This window comes from Homo sapiens, chromosome 14 (assembly GCF_000001405.40).
Source record: "Homo sapiens chromosome 14, GRCh38.p14 Primary Assembly".
Classification (NCBI taxonomy): domain Eukaryota; kingdom Metazoa; phylum Chordata; class Mammalia; order Primates; family Hominidae; genus Homo; species Homo sapiens.
This window is the reverse complement of record NC_000014.9, coordinates 45,137,368-45,164,776: the sequence shown is the minus strand read 5'-3', so window position 1 is coordinate 45,164,776 and position 27,409 is coordinate 45,137,368. Positions and strand designations below refer to the sequence as shown.

The 27,409-nt window shown below is 39.1% G+C and overlaps 1 protein-coding gene across 10 annotated transcripts in view, besides 2 other annotated features; it reads right to left on the bottom strand.

Annotated features, from left to right (window-relative positions):
* Positions 1-27,409, bottom strand: part of FANCM (FA complementation group M) — a 64,961-nt gene that overhangs the window by 36,114 nt on the left and 1,438 nt on the right. For 7 of the 10 annotated variants that reach the window (XM_011537034.3, XM_017021523.2, NM_020937.4 and 4 more), the window contains exons 3-10: positions 24,068-24,145; positions 15,782-15,940; positions 13,249-13,380; positions 10,725-10,857; positions 9,955-10,080; positions 9,318-9,404; positions 5,497-5,681; positions 212-418 (exon numbers count right to left, since the gene is read on the bottom strand). In XM_011537034.3, coding sequence (XP_011535336.1) covers positions 212-418; positions 5,497-5,681; positions 9,318-9,404; positions 9,955-10,080; positions 10,725-10,857; positions 13,249-13,380; positions 15,782-15,940; positions 24,068-24,145 — 1,107 coding nt within the window. Of the gene's footprint in view, positions 1-211; positions 419-5,496; positions 5,682-9,317; positions 9,405-9,954; positions 10,081-10,724; positions 10,858-13,248; positions 13,381-15,781; positions 15,941-24,067; positions 24,146-27,409 lie in introns of those variants that run through there. The other 3 variants (XM_011537035.4, NM_001308133.2, XM_047431634.1) reach the window with 2 other exon arrangements.
* Positions 19,664-19,773: an enhancer, noted in NCBI's record as "active region_8301". NCBI's record gives its function as "activates an Ori minimal core promoter by ATAC-STARR-seq in GM12878 lymphoblastoid cells {active_cell/tissue: GM12878}" and the evidence as "EXISTENCE:reporter gene assay evidence [ECO:0000049][PMID:35858748]".
* Positions 19,864-19,923: an enhancer, noted in NCBI's record as "active region_8300". NCBI's record gives its function as "activates an Ori minimal core promoter by ATAC-STARR-seq in GM12878 lymphoblastoid cells {active_cell/tissue: GM12878}" and the evidence as "EXISTENCE:reporter gene assay evidence [ECO:0000049][PMID:35858748]".

The following is a 27,409-nucleotide window of genomic DNA, read 5'->3' as shown; positions in this document are numbered from 1 at the left end:
ATGTGTTTCTTTAGATGGATAAAAATTAGCAAACTGACTCCAGTCAAAAATTCTCCTAGTTACAAGAGAGAATCCAATACAAAGTGGGGGAAAATAAACCAAAACTATCTACAGAGTGTTTGGACTTGGAATGCTAACATGTTGATATTCACCTTTGGGCTGTATTTCTCAAATTTCAAGTGTCAAATTGTGTTTCTGCAGCTCTACTTACACGTTCCTCTCGTCCTTCAGAAAGGATAATAACTATCCTGCCTTGACGTTTACGGCCAGTTCTACCCATTCGTTGTACAAGACGAATTGGGCTCTTCTGGGAATCAAAACATATTATAAGATCAACTTCTCCTATATCCAAACCTTCTTCACCCACACAGGTAGAAACCAGCGTGTTGTAACCACCGTCACGAAACTGTTTCACTACCTAAAATAAAAACAATTGAAAAATAACTACATGCAAATGTAAGAGAACTGTAGATCAAAGCATATTTTTCCCCACTCACCTGAAAAATAGTAAAATCAGATTAAAAATCAGCCTCAAGGCTGGCCACAGCTCATGCCTGTAATGTCAACACTTTGGGAGGACAAGGCAGAAAGATTGCTTGAGTCCAGGAGCTCAAGCTCAGCCTGGGCACATAGAAAAACCCTGTCTCTACGAAAAATAAAAAAACTAGCCCAGCATGATGGTGTATGCATGTAGCACTAACTACTTGGGAGACCGAGGCAGGAGGATCTCTTGAGCCCAGGAGTTCAAGGCTGCAAGTGAGCTATGACTGTGACACTGCACTCTAGCCTAGGCAACAGAGTAAAGCCTCGTTTCAACAAAACAAAGCAAAAAAATCAGCATCAAGGATAGTATAGAATAGGAAAAGAAGCAACCAACTAGCAATATAAGCCAAAAGAGATTATGGTAAAATAAACAGTTCTAATTATTTTGCTTTAGTAATGGTTGTGATGTCAAAAGGATTTGTCAACAATTTAAGTTCGTCACTGAATGAGAAAACCCAGAGTTTACTTTTAGCACCACAGAAAGGGGAATAGGGCAGGGAAATGGCCTACAGCAATCACTCCTATTTATCATATCTTAGACCTAAATGTATAGCTTTATCTGAAATAGGTTTATAAATATTTCTTATAATATTTGTAAGAATGTTGTATTACTCTTAGAAGTCATATCTTACCTTTTATACTACCATTCCAGGATTTCTCTGATCAGTTTAATGAAACCACAATAGCGTGAGAAGGAGTTAATGAAAAAGTTAATGAAAGTCCCTTAAGCCTTATAAACTTAGTTCTCAACTGCTCTGAGCCTCAGTTTCTCCATACAGACCAATACCAACATTGTGAGTTTGTGTACAGTGGAGTGGTGGAGGTGGTAATTAAGTGAGATAATGCAACATCAAAAGCTGAATTAGCTGATAAATAATGATAGCTACTATGTGCAAGGGCACACTATGTGCCAGGTACCAAACTAAGTACTTTATATATTAGTTTCTACTGCCAACGACCCTATGAGGTAGATATTATCATTGCATTTTATTAAACAATCTGAAAATCTGAAAAGTTAAGCTATTTGCCTAATGTCTCACTAATAATCATCAGCATTTGAATGTTAGTGTCTCTGACTCCAAAAACCTAACTTAATCTGTAAGCTAGTTGTATTGTGAAAAACAACAACCTTAAAAGTAGGACAATAAATATAAATGTATTATGTTAAGTCTTCTCATAAACATTTCAGTTGCACTGGTCCAAGGATTTTCTTTCAATATGGAAATCCTCGGAGTACAGGGAGAAACAATGATCATGATTAAACATTAAGAGTAATTCATTTCCTTTGGAATTTGTACTGACATTAAGCCAACCTGCATATAACACAGTAAAGCAGATGTCCTTTTTGCCCAGATAAAGAAAAAAAAAAGGCCACAGTGCTAGATACATTTTTTCTTAATATAACTAACAGATTAATAAAGAATGTCAATTTTCTTTTTAGTTAACATGTATAAACTAAACTGTTACTTCCATGCTTAAGATTGATATTAATTTGCCATTGAATATACACTTCCATGAACCCTTTCCACAAACTCAAGACATATATTCAATTGTTTATCCAATATCTCTGCTTGATGTTTAAAAGACTGCTACTGAAAGTGTGCTCCATGAACTGTTTATTACTGGTGCCTGTCCAAAAACTGTTTATTACTAGCTGACAACAAGGTAAGTACAATAACTGAAAGTAAGGGTTTAGACACTTGACAGAGTAATTTTGTTGGCTGACTCTAGTAATATTTTAAAAATTGGACCAGAACTTTATTTTTCATTCATTTTACTTTCTAGTAATTCATTTTTATTGTTCAAAAGTATCAGTATGTCATGTAGTGGGGGAAATAAGCTGGTCCTCTACCAGTTTCAATAGTTTGAAAAGCATTAATCTGAGAGGCATGTCAAAGTTAACTCATCTAAAACCAAGCTCCTGATATTCCCTAATTCTCCTGCCTCAGCCTCCCAAGTAGCTGAGATTATAGGCATCCGCCACCATGCCTGGCTAATTTTTGTATTTTCAGTAGAGACAGGGTTTCACCATGTTGGCCAGGCTGGTCTCAAACTCCTGACCTCAAATGATACACCTGCCTTGGCCTCCCAAAGTGTTAGGAATATAGGCGTGAGCCACCACACCTGGCCTTTCCTGCAGTCTTATCCATCTTAGTTAATACCAGCTCCTTCAGTTGCTCAGGCCAAAAACCTTGGAGTCATCCTACAGTCAGACTTCATATGCCTTTATCTCATATCCCACTCTAATTTGTCAATACACCCTGTCAGCTTGACCTGCAAAATACATCCAGAACTTAACCACTTCTCACCACCTTCCTTGTTACCACCCTAGTCCAAGTCACCATCATCTTCAGCTTAAATTGTTATAAGTCTCCCAACCGGTCTCTCCACTTCCACCCTTAGCCCCTACAGTTTATTCTTCAGACAATAACCAGCATGATTTTTTTTTCTTTTTTTGAGACAGGGTCTCACTGTGTTGCCCAGGCTGAAGTGCAGTGGTGTGATCTTGGCTCACTGGAGCTTCGACCTCTGGGCTCAAGCATCCTCCCTCCTCAGCCTCCCAGGTAGCTGAAACTACAGGCACATGCCACCACACCCAGCTAATTTTTGTATTTTTGGTAGAGATAAGGTTTTACCATGTTGCCCTAGTTGGTCTCGAACTCCTGGCCTCAAGCAATCTGCCTAACCTAGCCTCCCAAAGTGCTGTGATTACAGTCATGAGCCACAGTGTCCGGCTGATTCTTTTAAAATATAAACCGAGCTAAGACCATCCTCTGCCCCAAACTCTCCAAGAACTTCTCATCTCGGTCAGAGTAAAAGAGAAAGTCATTAAAATGGAAATGACATATAGGGCCCTAAAGGATCTGGCCCCCCCAATTTCTTCTGACTTAATATCGTGTTTCTAAATAAATGGACAATGTACAATTATTTGCCTGCAAGCTCGTTTCAAAATAAAACAGCTGTTATGAAAGCAATTACATATAGGAGTAATAAAAAAAGTTTTTACTTTGGCATACTTTAAAATATTATTGACATAAATGAGTAAATGATAAAGTCAGTAAAATCAATAATGTTCTTACGGTGCCTGACAAGCTCAGGAAATAATGACTTTAGGTAATACTGAAATTGATCAGAGATCGGATTGGGTACTGCAGGTATTTCAAATAATGAAAATGCTTGACCTCCACAGCAAAAATCCAATTCATTTTTCATTCATACATATATGTTAAGAGTAGTAATCACCCACTAGATGCCTTAAAAATATGTATAATCTGACTTGATAATAGGCAAAAGTATTATTTTCAGATTCAGGAAGGCACTCCCCACCATATCCAGTCAGCTTAAACAGACGCTTCTCGGTGTAGTGAGGGCAGGTATAAAAGGTATTTAAAGAATACCTGACCATGGCTCACGCCTGTAATCCCAGCACTTTGGGAGGCCGAGGCGGGCGGATCACGAGGTCAGGAGATGGAGACCGTCCTGGGTAACACGGTGAAACCCCGTCTCTATTAAAAATACAAAAAATTAGCTGGGCGTGGTGGGCACCTGTAGTCCCAGCTACTCGGGAGGCTGAGACAGGAGAATGGCGTGAACCCGGGAGGCGGAGCTTGCAGTGAGCTGAGATCGTGCCACTGCACTCCAGCCTCGGCAACAGAGCGAGACTCCGTCTCAAAAAAAAGAAAAAAAAAAAGAATACCTGACCAACATGGTGAAACCCTGTCTCTACTAAAAATACAAAAAAACTTAGCTGGGCGTGGTGGTGGGCACCTGTAGTCCCAGCTACTCAGGAGGCTGAGGCAGGAGAGTCTCTTGAACCCGGGAGGCGGAGGTTTCAGTGACTCGAGATTGGGCCACTGTACTCCACCCTGGGCGACAGAGAGAGACTCCATTTCAAAATTAAAAAAAAAAAAAAAAGAAAAGAAGAAGAAGACTACCTCCCAGCCAGGCGAGGTGGCTCATGCCTGTAATATCAGCATTTTGGGAGGCTGAGGCGGGCGGATCACCAGACGTCAGAAGTTTGAGACCACCCTGGCCAAGATGATGAAACCCCATCTCTACTAAAAATACAAAAATTAGCCAGGCGTGGGTGCCTGTAATCCCAGCTCTCTGGAGGCTGAGGCAGGAGAATTGCTTGAACCTGGGAGGCGGAGGTTGCAGTGAGCCAAGATCACACCACTGCACTCCAGCCTGGGCAACAGAGTAAGATTCCATCTAAAAAAAAAAAAAAAAACAAAAAAAAAACCTCATCTACTAACGTCTGCAGAATCAAAAAAGGATCTGTCAAAATTAATTAGAAATTAAAGAGATATCTAATTGTCAGTCACTACTCAAGTATAGACTTACATAGTTAATTTATAAAAAGCTGCATAGATTTTATAAAAATCAATAATGTAAAATTTCCCTCAAAACATCACAGCACTTAGAAAACCGAATGTCCTCTTACTCAGAGCATAAGGCTACCTTAAATACTATCATGGTTTCTTCTGACCCCACTTCTAAAATAAGATTTTTAAATAAATAAAAAGAGGCTAATTATTTGTTTAGAATAAATTATTAAAGCGACTTAATAAACATTTATTGGTGGCTCTACAATAAGATCTCTTTCAATGCTTACAACAACTCTATGATGTATGTTTACAGATAAGGAAAACTGAGGAAGAGGAAGTAAAGAAACTTTTAAGTGGTAGAGTCAGGATTCCAACCCAGTTAATATAATTCCACAGCTTTTCTGCTTAACTTTTACACTTTACATTACTTTAAAAAAAAAAAAGTTCCAAAACCACATAAAACATTTGTTATCATCTTTCAAAATATGCTTATTTTTACCTACACGTTTACTGTAAAATTCTTTTTAAGTAGCTAATTGACCAGTGAGTTAAAACTAACAAAAAAAGAACAAGTGCAAAGCTAATCAATCTTATTTTTATTTTTATCAATTCCAAAAATAATTACCTCCAGTTGCTCCTTCTGGGTAAAACCCTTCGTGCTTTTCCCTGAGGCATGGCCGACAAAAGTCATTACTCTAATAATTGGCTGATGCTGTGAAAGCATTTCTGCAATTTCTTGAACACTATCTCGAAATGAAGAGAAGATCATAACTCGGGTCTCATCACGTTTCTTTTCAGTAGTGTTTTCAGCTATATATATATATAAAAACTTTAATTACAACTTTTTACAAAGCATTTAGACAAGAAATAGTTCAAAAGACAAACCTGAAAGTGTTAATGCTAACGAATGATAATTCTTTCAAAAAAATAATTCAGCTGGATGTGGTGGCACACACCTATAGTCCCAGCTACTTGGGAGGCTGAGATGGGGAAATCGCTTGAGCCCAGGAGTTCAAGACCAGCCTGGGCAACATAACATAGCAAGACCCAGTCTCTAATAAACAAACATACAAATAAATAAATAATTTCAAACATCTTGAAATTTTTTAAACTATATTCTCTATTAATTTTAATAATCTTAGCTTATTACCATTGGCTGTCATAAAATAAAATCCTAAACAAATCAAATATGAATTATCTGAATCACTTTTGACTAGTCCTTCAACTCAGGCATAATGGCTATCATTTCCCTTTACCTTCTAAGATGGCCAGAAGCACAGAACTATGCAGCTCCCCCTAATTTCATAAGTCTTCCCTTTCCTTTCTGTTCACTAAAGGAAATGTCTTAATCCAAGCCATGCATTCTGTCCTCAAATCTACTATACTTTCAAATTCTCCAAAGACAACTGCAGAACATACCCTACAGTGAATTCCAAAGCTGCTCCCGATATGTCTGTGCTGGGGGGCGGGTGAGGTAGGGGGGTGGCGGGCAGTAGAATGCACTAATAAGAACATGATCTTTGTGGCTGGGCACTTAATTCTCTGGGTGATTGGTGATCATGGTAGTTATTTAAACTCTTTAAGCTTTAGTTTCTTCATATCTAATATGGATTGATGTATAAATGAAACAGTATATAGTTTTGCACATATAGTAATTGGCTAATTATTGCATACTGTGTGGGGTTTTTGGTTGTTTGTTTTTATTTTTGAGACAGGGTCATGTTTGGTCACCTAGGCTGGAATGCAGTGGCACCATCATGGCTCACTACAGCTTCGACCTCTTGGGCTCAGGTGATCCTCCCACCTCATGCTCTGAGTAGCTGGGACTACAGGCTCATGCCACCATGCCCAGCTACATTTTAAAATTTTTTTGTAGAGACGGGGTTTTGCCATGTTGCCAAGGCTGGTCTCGAACTCCTGGGCTGAAGAGATCTGCCCACCTCAGCCTCCCAAAGTGCTGGGATTACAGGCATGAGCCACGACATCCAACCTCTACTGATTTTTATTATCTTAATCATCATATGTGTTCCAAGGACCGCACTACGCATTTTATGTATGTTAACTCATTTAATCTTCACAACTCCTCTAAGGAATAAATGACTTATTAAATATAAAGTTAATTTACAATACAAAAACAAAACGTAGGACTTGAAGAAGCAGCTGTTCCAAGTAAAATTATTCTAAACAAACTTCTTTTGAATCATCATTGCATCAAGCATCAAGTCTCTGTATGTGACCAGCTCCTGAATGAATTGCTACTTTCATCACAAAACCTGTATCTCCTTCAATCTGTCACAGCCTGCCTTTTTACCCTCATTCCACTAAAGCTCCTTTCAGCAAAATCATCAATAACTTCCATACTGCCAAGTTCAATCGACACTTTTTAGTTTAACACACTTTCCTCTTTCCTTCTGAAATAGTCTCTTTCTTCAGCTTCTCTAACATTTTACTTGTCCAGTTTCCTCCCCAAGCTTTTTTTCCTCCAAACTCTTAACTGTTGATATTCTTCAGGACTCCATTCTGGACCCTCCTCTGTATATCTCTAAACTGTTGTCCTGATAATCACATCTATTCCTGAAACTTTAAATATTACCTTTATGCTGATAACTCCAAAATGTATTCACATATATGTAAATATGTAAAAACAGCAGCAATCATTCTTCTGAGATCCAGATTTGGTTATCTAATGCCTACTTGACACTTAGGTGTCTCAAAAACATCTTAACATGTTTGCTCTTTCTTTTGTTATTCTTTTTTTTAATTGACAAATAAAAGTTGTATATATTTATGTTGTACAATATGTTTTGAGATGTCTATATACATTGTGAAATGGCTAAATCAAGCTAATTAACATACATATTACCTCACATACTTATCTCTATTCTTCATTTTTCACTTTGCTCATGTAATCATTTGCAAACATGTACACATAAATGTATATACCCAGCCATATGATTCCTTTTTTCCTTTTTTTTTTTTTTTTTTTTTTGAGACAGAGTCTCACTCTTTTGCCAGGCTGCAGTGCAGTGGCGCAATCTTGGCTTACCGCAACCTCCGTCTCCCAGGTTCAAGAGATTCTCCTGCCTCAGCCTCCCGAGTAGCTGAGACTACAGGCACATACCACCACACTCAGCTAATTTTTGTATTTTTAGTAGAGACGGGGTTTCACCATGTTGGCCAGGATGGTTTTGATTTCTTGACCTCGTGATCTGCCCACCTCGGCCTCTCACAGTGCTGGGATTACAGGTGTGAGCCACTGCACCTGGCCAATTCCCTTTTTCTTATACCATACGTCTAATCCATCAACAAATACAATAAATAAGTTGGCTCCAATTTGAACATATATCTAGAATCTATCTCCCAGCACCTTGACCACTATTGCCTTGATGAACACCACTATTATGTGTCATCATCCAAGACTATCGTAATACTTTTCTAGGTTATCAATGTCTATGCTCCACAAAACTACCAGAGTGATCCTTAAAATGTCATGTCATTCCACTGCTACAAATACCTCTGTTTGGTTTTGCAAAGCACAAATATTCAGAAATTAAAAACTAAAGTCTGATATTATCTGCATACCTCTCATCTATACCACTTGTAGGCTCAGTCATACTTGTAGCCTCAATCTAACCACACTGGTCTGTTTAATCACACCAAGCACCCTACTGCCACCTCAAGGCCTTTGAATCTGCTATTTTTACTGCTTGGAATTATCTCTCCCCCAGCCTCCAAAACTCACAAGGCTTCCTCCCTTATCTCCATCATCACTTTAAATATCCCTCTACAGAGAAGTCTTCTATAACCATGCTATATAAAACAGCACTCCTCTATAACTCTCTCTCTCCTAATCTACTTTACTCTTTTACTGGTACTATATATTGTTTTACTCTCCACTTCCCTTATATTACCCCATGCTAACTTATATAGTACCTTATTCTTAACATTCCCACCACCACCCTTGCCCTAGCCCTTCCAAAATTTCTCACAGCTTTTTAGTATTCATTATCCAGAGTTAATTAAAAGCCCACCTTCTCCATAAGAAATGTTAGAATAAACTAATAGGTTGAAGGTTTTTCTTTGTTTGTTTTATTTTCGAGATTATTTATTTCAAGTTTTGCTCTTATAGCCCAGGCTGGAGTGCAATGGCACAATCTCGGCTCACTGCAACCTTCACCTCCCAGGTTCAAGCGATTCTCCTACCTCAGCCTCCCAAGTAGCTGGGATTACAAGCATGTGCCACCATGCCTGGCTAATTTTTGCATTTTTAGTAGAGACGGGGTTTTACCATGTTGGTCAGGCTGGTCTTGAACTCCTGACCTCCCGTGATCCTCGGCCTCCCAAAGTGCTGGGATTACAGGTGTGAACCACTGCACCCAGCCATAAGTAAAGTTTTACCTCTTGCAATAACTTTGTCTTGCCTTAAAGCTACTAAATATGACCTACCATTCCATGACTTGAAGTGTTCAATTACAACTTCTTCTAATTTCTTTAACTTTGGATGACTATAAACAAATTTTTTATTTTTATCTCCTGGAACAAAACAAAAATATCAAAATTTTTTTCTGTTTTTTTCCATATTCAATTACACTAATGTATATGAAAGTTATCTTTTCCAATGCATATGTTGGATTTTTTTTTAATTTTTAAAAAACTTAAACCAGAGGTAACATCTAGGTAGCACGTAAGTCTTACTGTAAAATGAACTTTGAACTTTCATAAAAATTTCATTCTGAGAGAACCTAAAGAGGAATCAGTAGCAAAGAAAGCAAAAATACATATCTAACTATAAATCAGGTTTTGATAGTTCTGAGAATTTTTACTACCACTAACAATTACCAACATCTGTTATATGTTTAAAGTTTGTAAACTTGTTTGAAGAAGTTTAAACATTGTTTAAAGCATATAAACTTTAAATTTGAATATATATTAATCTTAAAAAATGAAATATTTACACATTTAACAGATCTGTTGCTACAAAATATAAATAATTGTAGACATTTGCATCAAAGGAGCAAAATTTCAAAATTAACTGTGATTAAGAAACACAACACAATACATAATTTTAAAAGAAAAACCAGACCTTGTTGGATAGCAGAAATACCATTTGCTGAAGTACTACGTGTACGTGCAAACATACACTCTAGATGATTATAGAGTTTCATGAAGTCTTCATTTCGGCCAAGTTCATTTTTTGACCGTGTCATCCCTTCAGAAATTAAGAAAAGGTTTTCAAATAAATAATAATAAAACTGATAAAATGTATTATTTATTAAAAAGAAATTAAACTTTAGCAATGAATGTAAGTTTTTCAAGTGTAAACATGAAAACCAGAAACTTTTTGCAGTTCTACATTCATATATGTATTAATGAATGGTTTCCTTTTCTCCAGGAATTTATTAAAAACAAAGAAACATGGCCATTTGTTAATTATTCCAATGCTTTTTAAAATAAATCATTTTTAAGTAATCCAAACTCTTTAATATGTCTTTTTTTTTTTTTTTTTTAAGACAGTCTCACTCTGTTGCCCAGGCTGAAGTGCAGCAGCATGATCTTGACTCAAGGCAACCTCTGCCTCTCGGGTTCAAGCGATTCTCCCGCCTCAGTCTCCTGAGTAGCTGGGATTACAGGCGTGCACCATCATACCCAGCTAATTTTTGTATTTTTATTAGAGACAGGGTTTCACCATGTTGGCCAGGCTGGTCTTGAACTCCTGACCTCAAGTGATCCACCCACCTCGGCTTCCCAAAGTGCTGGGATTACAGAAATGAGCCACTGTGCCCAGCCCTTCAATATGTCTTTAGCCAAAATAATACATGTCATTATTTCTTTAAATAATTTGATATAATTTACCTTTAGTTCCATCCATAATTCCACAAAGGAAGAAATATAATGATCTCATTCCCATTTGCTGCAATAATTCATAACCATGATATAAACTAATACAAATAGCAAACTCTCCCTCGATTATGCCTTGTTGTATTCCCTAGAAAAACAGCATATGTCAAATTTAACCAGAGAAATAAATGAACATACATGCTCCATGCCCAAGTTGTCAGGCCATAGTCAGTGTAACATTTATAATATAATCCAAATGATCATAATCATCATTCCCTTCTACACTGCTATAACCGATTGGTTATTAAATGTCATCTTATAGGATGTTGCTATGGAAAGGTACCAATGTATTTTGTATGTAAAATCTGCCCCTTTATTTCTTTTTCTTTAATTAAACAGGAAACTTACATTTTAAAAATAATAAGTAAAGGAAAAAAAAATTATATTGTTTTTCTTTACAGGTAAATTAATTGGCAGTATATAGATATATTTGTTCTTTCAAAACTATATAGTAAGCATCTACTACCTGTCAAGCACTGAGCTAGATACAATGGAAATGGGAAATAAGTTAGATATGGCCTATCCTCATGAATGTTACTGGCAAAAGTACAAATATTTAATCAGACTGTTTTAATGCCAACCTTTAATACCAAGTATACGTCCTGTGAAAATATCTGACACTGAGCCCCAGAAACTATTCTAAGCACATTACTTGCACAATTCACTTAATCTTAGTATCTAGCAGGTAGCTATGTTATGCTCATTTTATAGATGAGGAAGCTCATACAAATGTTAAGTAGCAGAACCACTATTTAGACCCAGGAATTTTGGCTAAGAGGCCTTGTGCTTTCAACCACTACTCTCATGGAAAAATGAAGGACACATTCCTTTATGGAAGTACATGGTATGTGTATCTATCTGATAAGATAGTTTTTAAGGAGAGCATGGAGAACATATTCTAATTATTTTCCTTTGAGATGAAGACTACTGTTTTCTAACATTTTTAGTAGCACTTAACATCAATGTTAGTGATTTTAAATATTCCAGGATACTAACAAATGCCCTAAAATGGTACCCTAATTACCTCTCACCAGTTCCAGTTAAGATCTAGTTCAACAGGTTTAGATTTACTATTTCCTAGCAGAAATCAAAACATCTTTTTAAAGTTTTAAATAATAATATACTATAATTTTGCAGAAAAGACTCCTTTAGTGCTTCCCCAGATACTATATGATAAAGACCACATTTCGTGGTATAATAGTTAAAGTTACTCTCATGTAGTCACAACCTATATTATCATATCCGGTTTCGTGGTATAATACTTAAAGCTACTCTCATGTAGTACAACCTATATTATCATATCCAGTTTCCAAATCCTCAGCCAAATTGGTCTGCTCACTGTCTCCCACATGCTTTAATTCAATTGCCTCTGTTCTTTTGCACAGGCATTCCCTATCAGTTCAAAGATCGACTCGGTGCCCTTTTTTGTGTCTATGAGTGTCTTCTCTGACTTTGGACCTAGTTTGATAGATATTTTTTTATCCATTTATTTTTTTCCAATGCAGGTTAGAAATAAGAAGCTTGCTGTGATGCTTCCTTCAAACTCTGGTATTGAGAGTAAGAATAAATGTTCTGTGTCTAAAATTCAGTTACAATCTACCTTCTCATGGCTTTGAGACTTTACAAAATAAATAGACTAAAAGACAAATTCTTCTTAAAAGTTAAAAAGAAAGGTTGGGCACTGTGGCTCACATCTGTAATCTTTGGGATTACACTCTGGGAGGCCGAGACAGGCAGATCACCTGAGGTCAGGAGGTCGAGACCAGCCCGGCCAACATGATGAAACCCTCTCTCTACTAAAAAATACAAAAATTAGCCAGGCGTGGTGATGCGTGCCTGTAGTCCCAGCTACTAGGGAGGCTGAGGCACAAGACTTGCTTGAACCTGAGAGGCAGAGGTTACAGTGAGCCAAGGTCACACCACTGCACACCGGCTTGGGCAATAGAGCGAAATTCTGTCTCAAAAAAAAAAAAAAGAAAAAGTTAAAAGGTAAAATTTATCCTAATTCAAATCATTACATTGTATTCTTGCAGATTTTTCTCATGCTTTTATAAACTATATAAACATTTCTGATTTTTTTTTTTTTTTTTTTTTTAAGACAGGTCTAACTCTGTCACCTAGGCTAGAATGCAATGCTGCAATCACAGCTCACTGCAGCCTCGACCACCCAGGCTCAAGCAATCCTACCCTGCCTCAGGCTCCTGAGTAGGTACATACCACCACACTTGGCTATTTCTTTTACATTTGCAGAGACAGGGCCTCACTATGTTGCCCAGGCTGGTCCTGAACTCCAGGGCTCAAGTGATCCTCCCACCTTGGCCTCCCAAACTGTTAGGATTACAGGCATCAGCCACTGTGTTCGGCCTCATTTTTCAATTATTGATGAGCTAATAGGTACCCAAAATATCATTACCTATGTTTTATCCTGGCTTTCAGTGAAAATTTAATCTGTCATCAAAATTTATTTAAAAATACCTACCACAATATTCGGAGATGGGTTTTTCCTAAACTGATCTCTTGCCAGAATTATCTGATATTTTGTTAGATTTGGGATATCCCTTCTCATCAAAACATTCCTCTGAATCAAAGAACGAGCAAATGATTCCAAAATCTGCAAATTTAAAAGCAATCTAGTTTAAGCTTGCTCTAAAGTCCTTTTTCAAGTACAATCATTTTCTCACATATTAAAATAGGAATTATATATTTAATAAAGTTTGTCTTACAATGAATGTTTAAGTAAACTCAGCAATGATAACATTTAAAACTACTTGACATCTATCCCCAAATAATATCCATATAAAAATCAACATAAGCAATTATTATATACAACTGTAATTTAACAACACATTCGTTTATCTGTTTATTTCTTAACTCCTCTCTCTCTCAACCTACACACACTATAATCTAAGTGTAAGTACCATGAACGAAGACCTTTGATTTCTGCACTGTTACATCCTCAGTATCTAGACCAGTTTGGCACTTAGGTCCTCAGCAGATATTTGTAGAGTAGTTTGTAAAGTACTGAATAAATTGAAATGTCCTGAATATATTTAATTTTACTCACTGATGCATTTTTTTCAACAAATATTTATTAACCATCTACTATGTAACAGGCACTGTTCTAAATGCTGGGGATAGTGTGGCTAAGACTTTATTTGTCACTGCTCTCATATAGTTTACATTCCAATGGAGGGAACCGAAGAATAAAGAAGCGAACAAAGAAAGTAGATCATTTTCATTATAACAAATGCATTTAAGAATCTAAAACACAATAATGCTGTAGAGTCTTTGAGAGGAAAGGGATCATTATTAAATAAGGTGAACAAAGACTCTCTTTGAGAAGAGAACATTTGAGTTCACATGTGAATGATAAGGTATGTCTACCATGTGAGGTTCTAAGGACAAAGGATTCCAGAGAGAGGAGACAGCAAACAAAAAGTCCTGAGGCGGAAATGAGCTTAATGGCACAAAAGGAGACCTATAGATGAAGACCTACTACCGCAGTATGTAAGTGTTTAAATTTTTGCCTAATTTGTATTTTCTAAATTATGGCTAGTTTAATACATTTTTTTTCCTCCCTTCCAACTTTGCTGATCATACTGCCTAATAAGGCACTCTAAAAATACTAACAAAATTAAATTACATTTGTATATGATTATAAGAATTATCATATTTACATTGTTATAAATGGAATGATTTTCAATTAAAAATGCACTAGTATCAAAGAGACAATTACAAAAAGACTTTGCCATATCTTAACTCAATAATGCTTAGAATTTTGTTACAAACAATTTAAAAACAAAAAAGCTGTATTACTACAAAATGTCTCTTTAAGAAAGGCTTACTATAGATTAAGTGACAGATAACTTTTTGGTTATCTATTTCTGTAACCATCTTTAATCCATGGCAATGAAAATGTGAAACCATGTTGTTCAACCATGACACTAATTATGAACTACAGAAAAACAATGTGTTACCACAAATTTCTCCCAGTGAAAATGACAATTGTCTAAGCAGGTCCTTAACAGCTATAATATTGACATTTGAGCCAGATAATTCTTTGTTGTGGGGTTGCTGTCCTATCCATTGTAGGATGTTTAGCTGATTCCTGGCCTCCATATACTAGATGCCAATAATAACTCCACATTTCACCTGTTACCTCCCCCTTCTCTCCTGCCTTTTTGTTGTTGTTGTTGTTGTTGTAAGAACCAAAAATGTGTCAAGTCATTGCCAAATGTTGCCAGGTAGGTGAAGTAATTTCCAGATGAAAAGCACTGCTGCATAAAGATCAGGGAGGACAACAGTGAAAATATATTTCAATACAAAGAAACTTCTGGGGGCCGGGCGCATGGTGGCTTACACCTGTAATCCCAGCACTTTGGGAGGTCGGGGCAGGAAAATCACTTGAGGTCAGGAGTTCAAGACCAGCTTGGCCAACAAGGTGAAACCTCGTCTCTATTCAAAAATATAAAAATTAGCCAGATGTGGTAGCATGTGCCTGTAATCCCAGCTACTTGGGAGGCTAAGGAGAACTGCTTGAACCAGGGAGGTGGAAGCTGCAGTGAGCTGAACAAAAAACAACAAAAAGAAAACAAAGAAACTTCTGGCTGAATCTCAGTACGTGTTCATGTTACGGGTGTGTGCAATTTGTGAAAATTCACTGAGCAATACACTTATGCTTTGTCTACTTTTGCTGTTTGTGTGTGTGTGTGTGTGTGTGTGCATGTTCTATATTCCAGTTATAAGGTTTACTTAAAAAAATACAAAACCATGTAAGGCTATTATTTGCTTTACAAATGGCCCATCTTTTGTATTTTCCCTTTCAATAACAGTTTGCTAGTACATACAAAACACAGTGCTCATTCCAAAAATTTTAACTTCAAAGAATTTTTTCAACATATCAATTATATAAAAATAAGATAACTATATTATCACATCCAAATCCTGTTAGCTGAAATAATTCAATTACCAGTTTATTTATGAAATCCCTAAATGTCATAAAAATGGTTTACCTGGATATAGGTCTTTTGGATGGCTGCAAGTTCTTCACCAAGCGGAACAATAAGCTTTTCAACTTTTCTTTCATGAGAATATGTCAAAATATCTGGAGAATCTTCAGAACGAAGCTCTATCTGCCCAATTAGCAGGTTAGTAATAACTTGTTGCACAGCCTATATGAAATCAATTAAGTATGATTATAAACTACATGTTAAAATTTTTTAGTTTAAGTCACTAACAGAAATAAAATAGCAGTAAAATTTTGAAAGAAGCACCAGAAATTTATATCATTAAGTAACAAAAAAGAAAGAAGATAAGCCTATAAAAAAAGTACATCAGAAGTAGCACAACAGGTGAAAAGTGCTTCCGAAACATCTTTTCCCCACACAGACCTTCAAGCCAAGCATCCGAGAAATAAGAATATTTGTAAATGTCCAAAAAGTTCCTCAAATGTAGTTTGGTACTTTACAAATAGAGTCTTTATAAAGACTCAGACAAAAATTTCAGATTAGCAATACTCAATCAATTATTGATAAATTAGTAGAATATTTTCCATTTAAATCAACATATATGATGTGAATATATTTCCAGGACTAAATTTCATGTACCCAAAGCTTATAAAGAGACTTCATTGTAAAATTAGGAAACTGGAGAAAAAACATATAATCTGTTGTATTCTGTAGCAGGAGACTATGGTACTGACAGTGCGATTAACAATTAAAAAGAAAAAAAAAAGAGAGGATCCTGAGAGTATGTAAAAATTAAAAGTTGTTTTGTGTGTGTGTGTGTGTGTGTGTGTGTGTGTGTGTTTTTGAGACGGTGCCTCGTTCTGTCACCCGGGCTGGAGCACAGTGGCACGATATCGGCTAACTGCAACCTCCGCCTCCCAGGTTCAAACGATTCTCCTGCCTCAGCCTCCCCAGTAGCTGGGATTACAGGCGCCTGCCACTACACCCAGCTAATTTTTTGTATTTTCAGTAGAGATGAGGTTTCACCATGTTGGCCAGGCTGGTCTCGAACTCCTGACCTCATGATTCGCCCACCTTGGCCTCCCAAAGTGCTGGGATTACAGGTGTGAGGCATCACGCCCGGCTTTTTTTTTGGGGGGGGGGCGGTTTGGAACCTCCCTCTGTCGCCCAGGCTGCAGTGCAATGGCACAATCTATCTCAGGTTATTGCAACCTCTGACTCCCGGGTTCAAGCGATTCTCCTGCCTCAGCCTCTTGAATAGCTGGGACTACAGGCATATGTCACCATGCCCAGCTAATTTTTGTATTTTGGGTACAGATGGGGTTTCACCATGTTGGCCTAACTGGTCTCTAACTCCTGACTTCTGTGATCCGCCCACCTTGGCCTCCTAAAGTGCTGGGATTAAAGGTGTGAGCCATGGTGTCCAAACAAAAATAGAAAGCCTTGTGGGTTTAGGCCGGGCAGCAGCTCACGCCTAAGGGTGTAATCCCAGGGCTGTGGGAGGCCAAGTTGGGAAGACTGCTTGAAGCCAGGAATTTGAAACCACCCTGGGCAACATAGTGAGACCCCATATCTACAAAAAAAATGACAATTGCTGGCGAAGTGGCAAGCACCTGCTGAAGTATCACTTGAACACAGGAGTTCTAGGCTGCAGTGAGTGAACTACAGTTGCGACTGTATTCCAGCCTGGGTGACAGGGCAAGACCCTGTCTCCAAAAAAAAAAGAAAGAAAGAAAAAGAAAAGAAAAAAAGAAAGCTTTGAGGGCTTGGTTTTGGGGGGGGCGGGGAACAGCCTGGGGCAAGAATCATATCTTGGTATTCCCAATACCTGGCGCAGTGCCCAATACGGCACACCATAATCACTGGCGGCCTATACGTATTCAAAATCTAGAATACATTTGTGACCATTTTATAAAATTAAGCTTATTGCTTTTAATAGTTCATTCATGAAAGAAATACATGAGTAACTCCCACATGCCAGGTATTGAGTTAATGACAGAGAAACGACCAAAATCGGCATAATCCCTACATTCATGTAGCTGATATTTTACTGGCGCTGAAAGACCAAAATAATCAATACGCAAAAGAATGACCAATTATCACAAATGTTAAGAAGAAAATAACAAAATAAGGAACACTGACAAGATAGCTTAGTTAGAATAGACCTTTCTGAAGGGATGACTTTTTTTTTTTTTTTTTTTTTTTTTTGAGACAGAGTCTTGCTCTGTCGCCCAGGCTGGAATGCAGTGGCGCGATCTCGGCTCACTGCAAGCTCCGCCTCCCAGGTTCACGCCATTCTTGCGCCTCAGCCTCCCGAGTAGCTGGGACTACAGGTGCCCACCACCATGCCCGGCTAATTTTTTGTATTTTTTTTAGTAGAGACGGGGTTTCACCATGTTGGCCAGGATGGTTTCGATATCCTGACTTCGTGATCCACCCGCCTCGGCCTCCCAAAGGGGGATGACATTTTTAAGCTGACTGAAAAACATGAATGTTTAAACGAGGTCAGGGAGAAAACCAGAGATAGGATAGAATTTCTAAGCTCATCAAAAAAAAGGATAGAAGAAAAAAGTCTTGCAGCTTGCAAGAGTTAAAAGCTATCATTGGAAGCATGGAGCAAGATGGAAATACAGATAATCGCCCACACAGAACATCAAATTTGACAACTATCTACACAAAAAAAGCACCTTCATAAGAACCAAAAATCAAGTGAGCAATCACAGTACCTGGTATTCACTTCATATTGCTAAAAGAGGCACTTTGAGGTAGGAAACACAATCCTTTTTTTTTTTTTTTTTTTCAGACGGAGTCTCACTCTGTCACCCAGGCTGGAGTGCCATGCCATGATCTCGGCTCACTGCAAGCTCTGCCTCCCGGGTTCACGCCATTCTCCTGCCTCAGCCTCCCGAGTAGCTGGGACTACAGGTGCCCACCACCACGCCCGGCTAATATTTTGTATTTTTTTTTTCTTTTTTTTTTTTTGAGACGGAGTCTCGCTCTGTGGCCCAGGCTGGAGTGCAGTGGCGGGATCTCGGCTCACTGCAAGCTCCGCCTCCCGGGTTCACGCCATTCTCCTGCCTCAGCCTCCCAAGTAGCTGGGACTACAGGCGCCCGCCACTACGCCCGGCTAATTTTTTGTATTTTTAGTAGAGACGGGGTTTCACCGTTTTAGCCGGGATGGTCTCGATCTCCTGACCTCGTGATCCGCCCGCCTCGGCCTCCCAAAGTGCTGGGATTACAGGCGTGAGCCACCGCGCCCGGCCATTTTTTTGTATTTTTTAGTAGAGACGGGGTTTCACTGTGTTAGCCAGTGTGGTCTCGATCTCCTGACCTCCTGATCCGCCTGCCTTGGCCTCCCAAAGTGCTGGGATTACAGGTGTGAGCCACCACGCTCAGCCAGGAAACACAATCTTGAATCATGGACACCACCCCTCCCTCATCCCCCAGAGGCCCTGTGGTGTGGAGAAAGAATCTAAGAACCTGGGGGAAGGAGAGTGCAGTTTCTGGGAGACTGTGCATTGAACTAAGTGTTGCTCTGTCACAGTGAAAAGCAAAACCAGGTGGAACTCAGTCAATGCCACCACAGAAGGAGAATTTAGACCAGCCCTAGCTAGAAGGGAATTCCCCATCCTAGTGGTTGGAACTTAAGTTCCTGCAAATGCTCTGGAGACGATGAACATGGGGGGCACGTGACCTAGTGAGACACCAGGTGGGACAGTTAAAGGAGTGATTGCACCACCCTTCATTCAACCCCAGTCTGGGCAGCTCACATAAACGAAAGTGACTCCTTCCTTCTGCTTGAGGAAAAAAGAGGGAAGAGTAAAGAGGACTTTGTCTTGCATCCTGGATATCAGCTCAGCCACAACAGGACAGGGCAGAGTCATGAGGTCTCCGTTCCTGACCCTAGCTCCCTGACAACTTTTCTAGACGTACCCTGGGCCAGAAGGAAACCCGCTACCTTGAAGGGAAGAACACAGTCCTGGCAAGATTCATTACCTGCTGACTAAAGAGCCCTTGGGCCCTAAATAACCATCAGCAATACCCAGGTAATATGTCATGGGCCTTGGGTGAGACTCTTAGACATGCTGGCTTCCAGTGAAACCCAGCACATCTCTAGCAATGATGGCTATGATGAGAAACTTCTGCTTGAGAAAAGCAGAAGTAAAGGAGACTTTGTCTTACACCTCAGGTACCAGCTCAGCCACAGTGGGGAAGGGCAACAAATGGGCTCTTGGGGACCTGATTCCAGGCCTTGACTCTTGAACAGCATTTCTGAAACTGTCCCAGGCCAGAGGGGAACCCACTTCTCTGAAGGGTGAGTCCCAGGCCTGGCAGCATTCAGCACAAGCTGACTGAAGAGTCCTTGGGCCTTAAATGAAAATCAGCAGTAGACTGGCAGTACACCTCATGGGCCTATGGTAGTGGTGACCATGGGGAGAGGCTCCTCTGCCTGTGGAAAGAAAGAGTGAGAAGGACTTCATCTTGTGCTTTGAGTGCAAGCTTAGCTGCAGTAGTATAGAGCACAAGGTAGATTTCTAAGGTTTCTGACTCTAGTTTCTGGCTCCTAGATGGCATCTCTGGACTTGCCCGGGGCCTGGAGGAACTTGCTGACAAACTTCACACGTTCTAACTTTTTAGTGGGAGCTAAAAATTAAAGTAATTGAACTCATAGAGATAGAGAGTAGAAGGATGATTACAGAGGCTGGGAAGGGTAGTGGGCGAGGGGGGTGGAGGGGACACTACATTAATGGGTACAAAAAAATAGAATAAATAAGATCTAATATTTGATAGCATAATAGGGTGACTATAGTCAGTAATAAGTTTACATTTTAAAATAACTAAAAGAGTATAACTGGATTGTAACAAAAAGAATAAATGCTTAAGGTGATGGATACCCCATTAGCCTGATGTGATTATTATGCACTGCATGCCTGTATCAAAATATCTCATATATACCATAAATATATATACCTACTATGTACCCATAAAAATAAAAAAAAAAAGTTTTAAAAGGCTGCCACAGAATGTATCCAATAAAATCCTTACTCAAGCCGGGCGTGGTGGCTCACGCCTGTAATCCCAGCACTTTGGGAGGCTGAGGTGGGTAGATCACGAGGTCAGGGGTTCGAGACCAGCCTGACCAACATGGTGAAACCCCGTCTCCACTAAAAATACAAAAATTAGCTGAGCATGGTGGTGGGCACCTGTAATCCCAGCTGCTTAGGAGGCTGAGGCAGGAGAATGGCTTGAACCCGGGAGGCAGAGGTTGCAGTGAGCCGAGATCGCGCCACTGCACTCCAGCCTGGGTGACAAAGCGAGACTCTGTCTCAAAAAAAAAAAAAAAAAAAAATCCTTACTCAATATGGAAGACCGTTCAGAGCTACTAAAATCAGAATATTATAGGACAGGTCTCAAAATCTGCATTTTTACCATTCTTCAATAAAGGAAACCAGAATTTCCCAGACATACTGTTGATTCCATGGCTGGGCCGAAAAAATACTAAAGGAGCATAATGTATCTTATGATGTCAGAAAGTTACAGAAGCATCAAAAGAAAGAGTGGCAAGGTATGGTGGCTCATGCCAATAATCCCAGCACTTTGAGAGGCTGAGACAGGTGGATCACTTGAGCCCAGGAGTTTGAGACCAGTAGTTCTAGACCAGCCTGGGCAACAATGGGAGACCCTGTCTCTACAAAAGATACAAAAATTTGCTGGGTGTGGTGGCAGGCACCTGTAGTCCCAGCTCCTCAGGAGGCTGACGTGGGAGAACCACCTGAGCCTGGGAAATTTAGCTGCAGTGAGTATTATTGTGCACTGCCCTCCAGCCTGGAGGACTCAGTGAGACCCTGTTTAAAAAAAAAAAAAAAAAGTGCATGTCTAAAGGACACAGGAGCTTGAAGGAGCTCCTAACAGACAAAGCTGGAACAATCTTAATAAAATTGATAAAATAGTATTGGACTGTGGCCCACAGAAGGAAAAAAAATCTTTATTGCAGAAGAATTCAAATTAATGCATATAAAAGAGAGAAAGAATGATTAGGCAAATACCACAACAATAATTGTTGCAAGCCAAGAACCACCACTGGATGCTAAAACAGGATTATTTACATAGTCTCAAAGTATTTCCCCCACAAGACAGTTATTAATTACAAAGGGAATAACAGTAATTTTACAATGAAGAAACCAAGAAGACATCATCTTAACTAAGTCAAGATTACAACACAAGTAAAAAAGGCAAAGCAACATCATCTATTCCCTGATAGGATATGCTGAGAAAGGTACAGCATCACTTCTGGATTATTGTTAGCAAATGCATAACGTCACCACATCATGAGAAAACATCAGACTTACCCAAATTGAGGGATATTCTACAAAATATCTGGCACCTACACTTCAAAAGCATCAAGGTCATGGAAAACAAGAAAAAAGAGGAAGCGGCCGGGCACAGTGGCTCACACCTGTAATCCCAGCACTTTGGGAGGCCGGGGCGGGTGGATCACGAGGTCAGGAGCTCGAGACCAGCCTGGCCAACATAGTGAAACCTTGTCTCTACTAAAAATACAAAAAATTAGCCGGGCATGGTGGCGGGTGACTGTAATCCCAGCTACTCAGGAGGCTGAGGCAGGAGAATAGCTTGAACCTGGGAGGTGGAGGTTGCAGTGAGCCGAGATCATGCCATTGCACTCCAGCCCGGGCAACAGTGCGAGACTTCGTCTCAAAAAAAAAAAAAAAAGAAAAAAGAGGAACCATCACAGATTAGAAGGGACTAAGAAGCCATGACAACACAATGTGAGATCACAGACTGAACCCTGGAGCAGAAAAGTACATCAGTGGGAAAACTGGCAAAATTCAGACAAGATCTGCAGATTAGTTACTGGTATAGCAATGCTAATTTTCTGGCTTTGATAATTTTATTATGGTTATATGATACGTTAACATTAGGGGAAGACGGGAGAGGACCAAACGAAGACTTCTATTTTTGCAATTTTTCTGGCAATCTAAAGTTATTTCCAAACAAAACTTTAAAAAACTGAAAACAGTAACAACTTTTAAAAATCATTTTACTATTTAAAAATATCCTGTATTTTTAACAGGTTTTAGGGATTCTTATGCACACTGCAGTCTGAAAACTACTAACTTAAAGAAACTCCTGGGCTGGGCATAGTAGCTCACGCCTGAAATCCCAGCACTTTGGGAGGCTGAGGCCGGCAGATCACCTGAGGTCAGGAGTTGGAGACCAGCTGGCCAACATGGTGAAACCCCGTGTCTACTAAAAATACAAAAATTAGCCAGGCGTGGTGATGGACGCCTGTAATCCCAGCTACTCGGGAGGGTGAGGCAAGAGAATCGCTTGAATCCAGGAGGCGGAGGTTGCAGTGAGCCAAGGTCATGCCATTCCACTCCAGCCTGGGTAACAAGAGCAAAACTCCGTCAAAAAAAAAAAAAAGAGAAAGAAAGAAAGGAAAGGAGAGGAAAGGAGGGGAACGTAAGGTAAGGGGAAGGGAACAGGGAGGAGGAAGGGGAGGGGAGGGGGAGGAGAACAGAGGAGAAAGGGGAGGGGAGGGGAGGGGAGGGGAGTCCTGCAACCACTGAAAAAAAGCTAGGCAGGTTGTAGGAAATGTTGTAGTTCTCATGTTAAACTAGATAAATACCAAAATGGAAAACTGATCTGGCCCCATATAAAAGTTCTTATTATTTGGATTATTCATTTATGTTTTTTGTTTTTTGCTTTCTTTTTTTTTTTTTTTTTTTTTGAGACGGAGCCTCGCTCTGTCGCCCAGGCTGGAGTGCAGTGGCTAGATCTTGGCTCATTGCAAGCTCCGCCTCCCGAGTTCACGCCATTCTCCTGCCTCAGCCTCCTGAGTAGCTGGGACTACAGGTGCCCACCACCACGCCCGGTTAATTTTTTGTATTTTTGGTAGACACCGGGTTTCACCGTGTTAACCAGGATGGTCTGGATCTCCTGACCTTGTGATCCGCCCACCTTGGCCTCCCAGAGTGCTGGGATTACGGGTCTTGCTCTGTCACCAAGGCTGCAGCACAGTGGCAATCATAGCTAACTGCAGCCTCCATCTCCTAAGCTCAAGCAATCTTCCTGACTCAGCCTCTGGAGTAGCTGGGACTACAGATGTGTGCCACCATGCTCACTATTTTTTTAATTTTTTGTAGAGATAGGTCTCACCATGTTGCCCAGGCTGGTCTGGAATTCCTGGCCTCAAGTGATCCTCCCATCTCCACCTCCCAAAGCACTAGGATTACAGGTATGACTCACTGCACCTGGCCAAAAGCTTTATTTTCTTAACTGTAATAAATGGAAAAACATTTTACTTACCTTTATATCACTACCTGGTGTGGCACTTAGAGCCAAGATTCTAAAGTGATTTGTATATTTGACTAGTTCTCTTACAACCTTAAGAAAAAAAAAGTTCTTTAGTTTCATCTGTTCAATGCAAAAATAACAGTGGTTCTGTTAAACAACCTATTATACATGGTCCCTTATCATTATTCCTTCATCAGTATATTGATGGTCTAGTGAGTGAACTACCACCAGTTATATTATCTGAAGAGCAAATGATTTAGGTTTATTCTCTATGCTGATCAAGAACACAGTAGGGCTTCTTCTACAGAAAAAACTGCAACATCAAAATACTCAAAGGGCAAATCAAAATACTCAAAGGTGCTGGGCACAGTGGCTCACGCTTGTAATCTCAACACTTTTGGGAGGCCAAGGTGGGTGGTTCACTTTAGCTCAAGAGTTCAAGACCAGCCTGGGCAACATGGTGAAACCTGGTCTCTACAAAAGAAAAAAAAAAACTCAAAAGGACTGCTTTAAGGTCAAATGGAAGAGGAAGAAAGTTCAGTTTCCATTGTCTGGGCCACAGTTCAGCCTTACGGCTATACCCATATGCACACTTGACAGATTAAGAGAAATCTTAACAGATAAAACTGCACAGAATTTTAAATAGCAATACGAAATTATATTTGAAATTTTGGGAAAGATTTTTTTTTAAGTTACATTTTATGTGGAAAGCTCACAAAAAATTTTTTTTTTAGAAACAGGGTCTTACTCTGTCACCCAGGCTGGAGCACAGTGATGCCATCCATCATAGCTCACTGTAGCCTCAACCTCTGGGGCTCAAGTGATCCTCCTGCCTTGGCCTCCCAAGCAGCTGGGGCTACAGGTATGCGCCAGCATACCTGTAATGTAGTGAAAGCTAATTTTTTCACTTTCTGTAGAGGCAGAGTCACCCTGCCCAGGCCAGTCTTGAACTCCTGGCCTCAAGTGATCCCTGGCATTGGCCTTCCAAAGTGCTGGAATTACAGGTTCAAGCCACTGCGCCCAGCTCACAATATATAAATTAAGTGTATTCATTAAAAAATATAGTCATTTGAGGTAATCTTTAAAATCTAAATTTCCTTTTAAATCCTAAAACATTTCCTCGGTAGCACCAAACCACCATCTGCACTTTCTGGTTTGAACTCGACACCCATTCTAGTATGATTAATACTGGGATAATTTGCCAGATTCCCATATACCACTTCATTTCCCAATACAGAGGAAAATGCACTTCCAAGTAGACTGATTTGCAGGAACAGCTCTCAGTATACCATAGTTCCCAAATTAAACACAGGATTAAACAATAAAACCAGATTATCCAAAAATCACTCCAATTTCAACCCAAGACAAAAACAAATCCAATGAGACTAACACTGAATCTTGATTAATACTGAAAAAATATTTATCGAGCTTTTAAAAATATGGTACAGATTGCATATGAAGACATAACATTATACTTATTATTCTTCAGAAACAAGTAAAATTATAATTAAAAACTGATGCAAGATAAAATATCCCTAGTGACCATTTTCAGTTTAGCTTAATGCTAGAAGTGATGGTCCTTACATATAATAGAAGGATTTTTGAAAAGTCATGAGTGCAGTAAGGAAGACAAAAAGATTGCTTACTGGATTGATGCTTTTAAAAATGTTTTGTATGATAGCCAAAATTCAAAGTGTTCTTTCAGATTGTGAGGCAGTTTTGAGTGAAATCATTTTGTTGTTATATGGCACATGTATCAATATGCCTTCCAGAACTATTACATATGAAAAGTAAGCCAAATACATTACTTCTTTTCACGAAGAATTCTCAAGCATCTTGTAGAAGAGGAAATGGTGGTGTGTGCCTCATGGAGCAGGTGTACCTATTGGAATGTATATCTGGAATATTCAATGCGGTGTAAGCTGTCAGGGCTGTCTGGTTATTAATGAAGTCAATGCATGTTTCATTATATTCATAAAGCCTTGCTGTTAAAAAAAAATCTAATGCCTAGAAATGTTTTGAAAATAAAATAATTACCAGCTAAATCTTCAAAACGTATTCCATACAGTTTGAATTTTAAAAAATTTTTAAGTGTTTTATTATTTCATTTCATTTTTGTAGACACAGGGTCTCACTATGTTGCCCAAGCTGATCTCAAACTCCTGGCCTCAAGCTAAAATTTTTTAAATGCCCCTCTCAGATGGAAATTTTTAACATGCTATGTATTAATTTAATTTGGAATGATATCAATAAGTGGAAAAATATATTATATTCATTTCCTGAATATAATTAGGAAGATCAATTATTAAAAAAGATGACAATTATCCCTAATACAGAGATATAATACAATAACGTTTACAGTCCCCAAAGAAATGACTATACAAATTCAAAAACTGGCAGAGAAATTCATGTCTTTGCCCTAAATGAAATTAACTTTCCCTACCTTTCCCTCTTTTATTCTTGCTCTATAATCTCCTCCTATCATCACCAACTACTATAGTTTTAACTACCATCTATATGTTTATAATTTCCAAATCTGTATCTCTATCTACCTCAGAACTCTCCAGCAAGATCCATACTTCTATCAAGTATCGCCTAATGAATATCTACAGCTGAATTCCTCATAGACACCTCAAACTCAACACATCTAAATCATCTTTCCACGTTCCCCCTAAACCTGCTCTCCACCCAGAACTCACAATCTTCACAGTTTTCCAAGTCAGAAATCTGGAAGTCATCCTACATCCCTTCTACCCCTCATTAGATACTCTGTCTTTAGCCTTCTTCTCTCTAATCTCTTTCAAATCTTAAGTGTTATCCCAGCCAAACATTTTTTAATGAGTCCCCACCACCTTTATCCCCTATGGCCTACAAAGGCTTTCAAACTATTAAGCATAAAATATTAATGACCTGGACCTTGAGTAGAAGAGGCAAAATCCCCCTTAGGAGAAGAGGGAAACAGAAAGTCAACTTCATTCAGTGCAAAGATATGAATGATGTTTGCAACCACATCCCACTACTTCATCTTATTTTATATTCCTGGAGTACTCAACTGGAAGGCACTGTGTTAGGTATGTGGCATACATTATGTCATTATTTTACCTAGCCGCCAAGAAGAGACACCGCATATCCACTACCAATCTTTATTAATTTCAAAACTCCTTTCATACCCTATTTTAGATCACTGTCCCAACCATGACTAGGCTCTCATGATCTACATCTGACACTAATTATCTGGTTAGTCTTAAAATAGAAGAAAAGAAAAAGAAAACAACAATAACAGCAAAAGGCAGTGAAGACACTGATTTGAATGGATGACAGAAAGTACAGATATTCTTTATCACCATCTGTTCT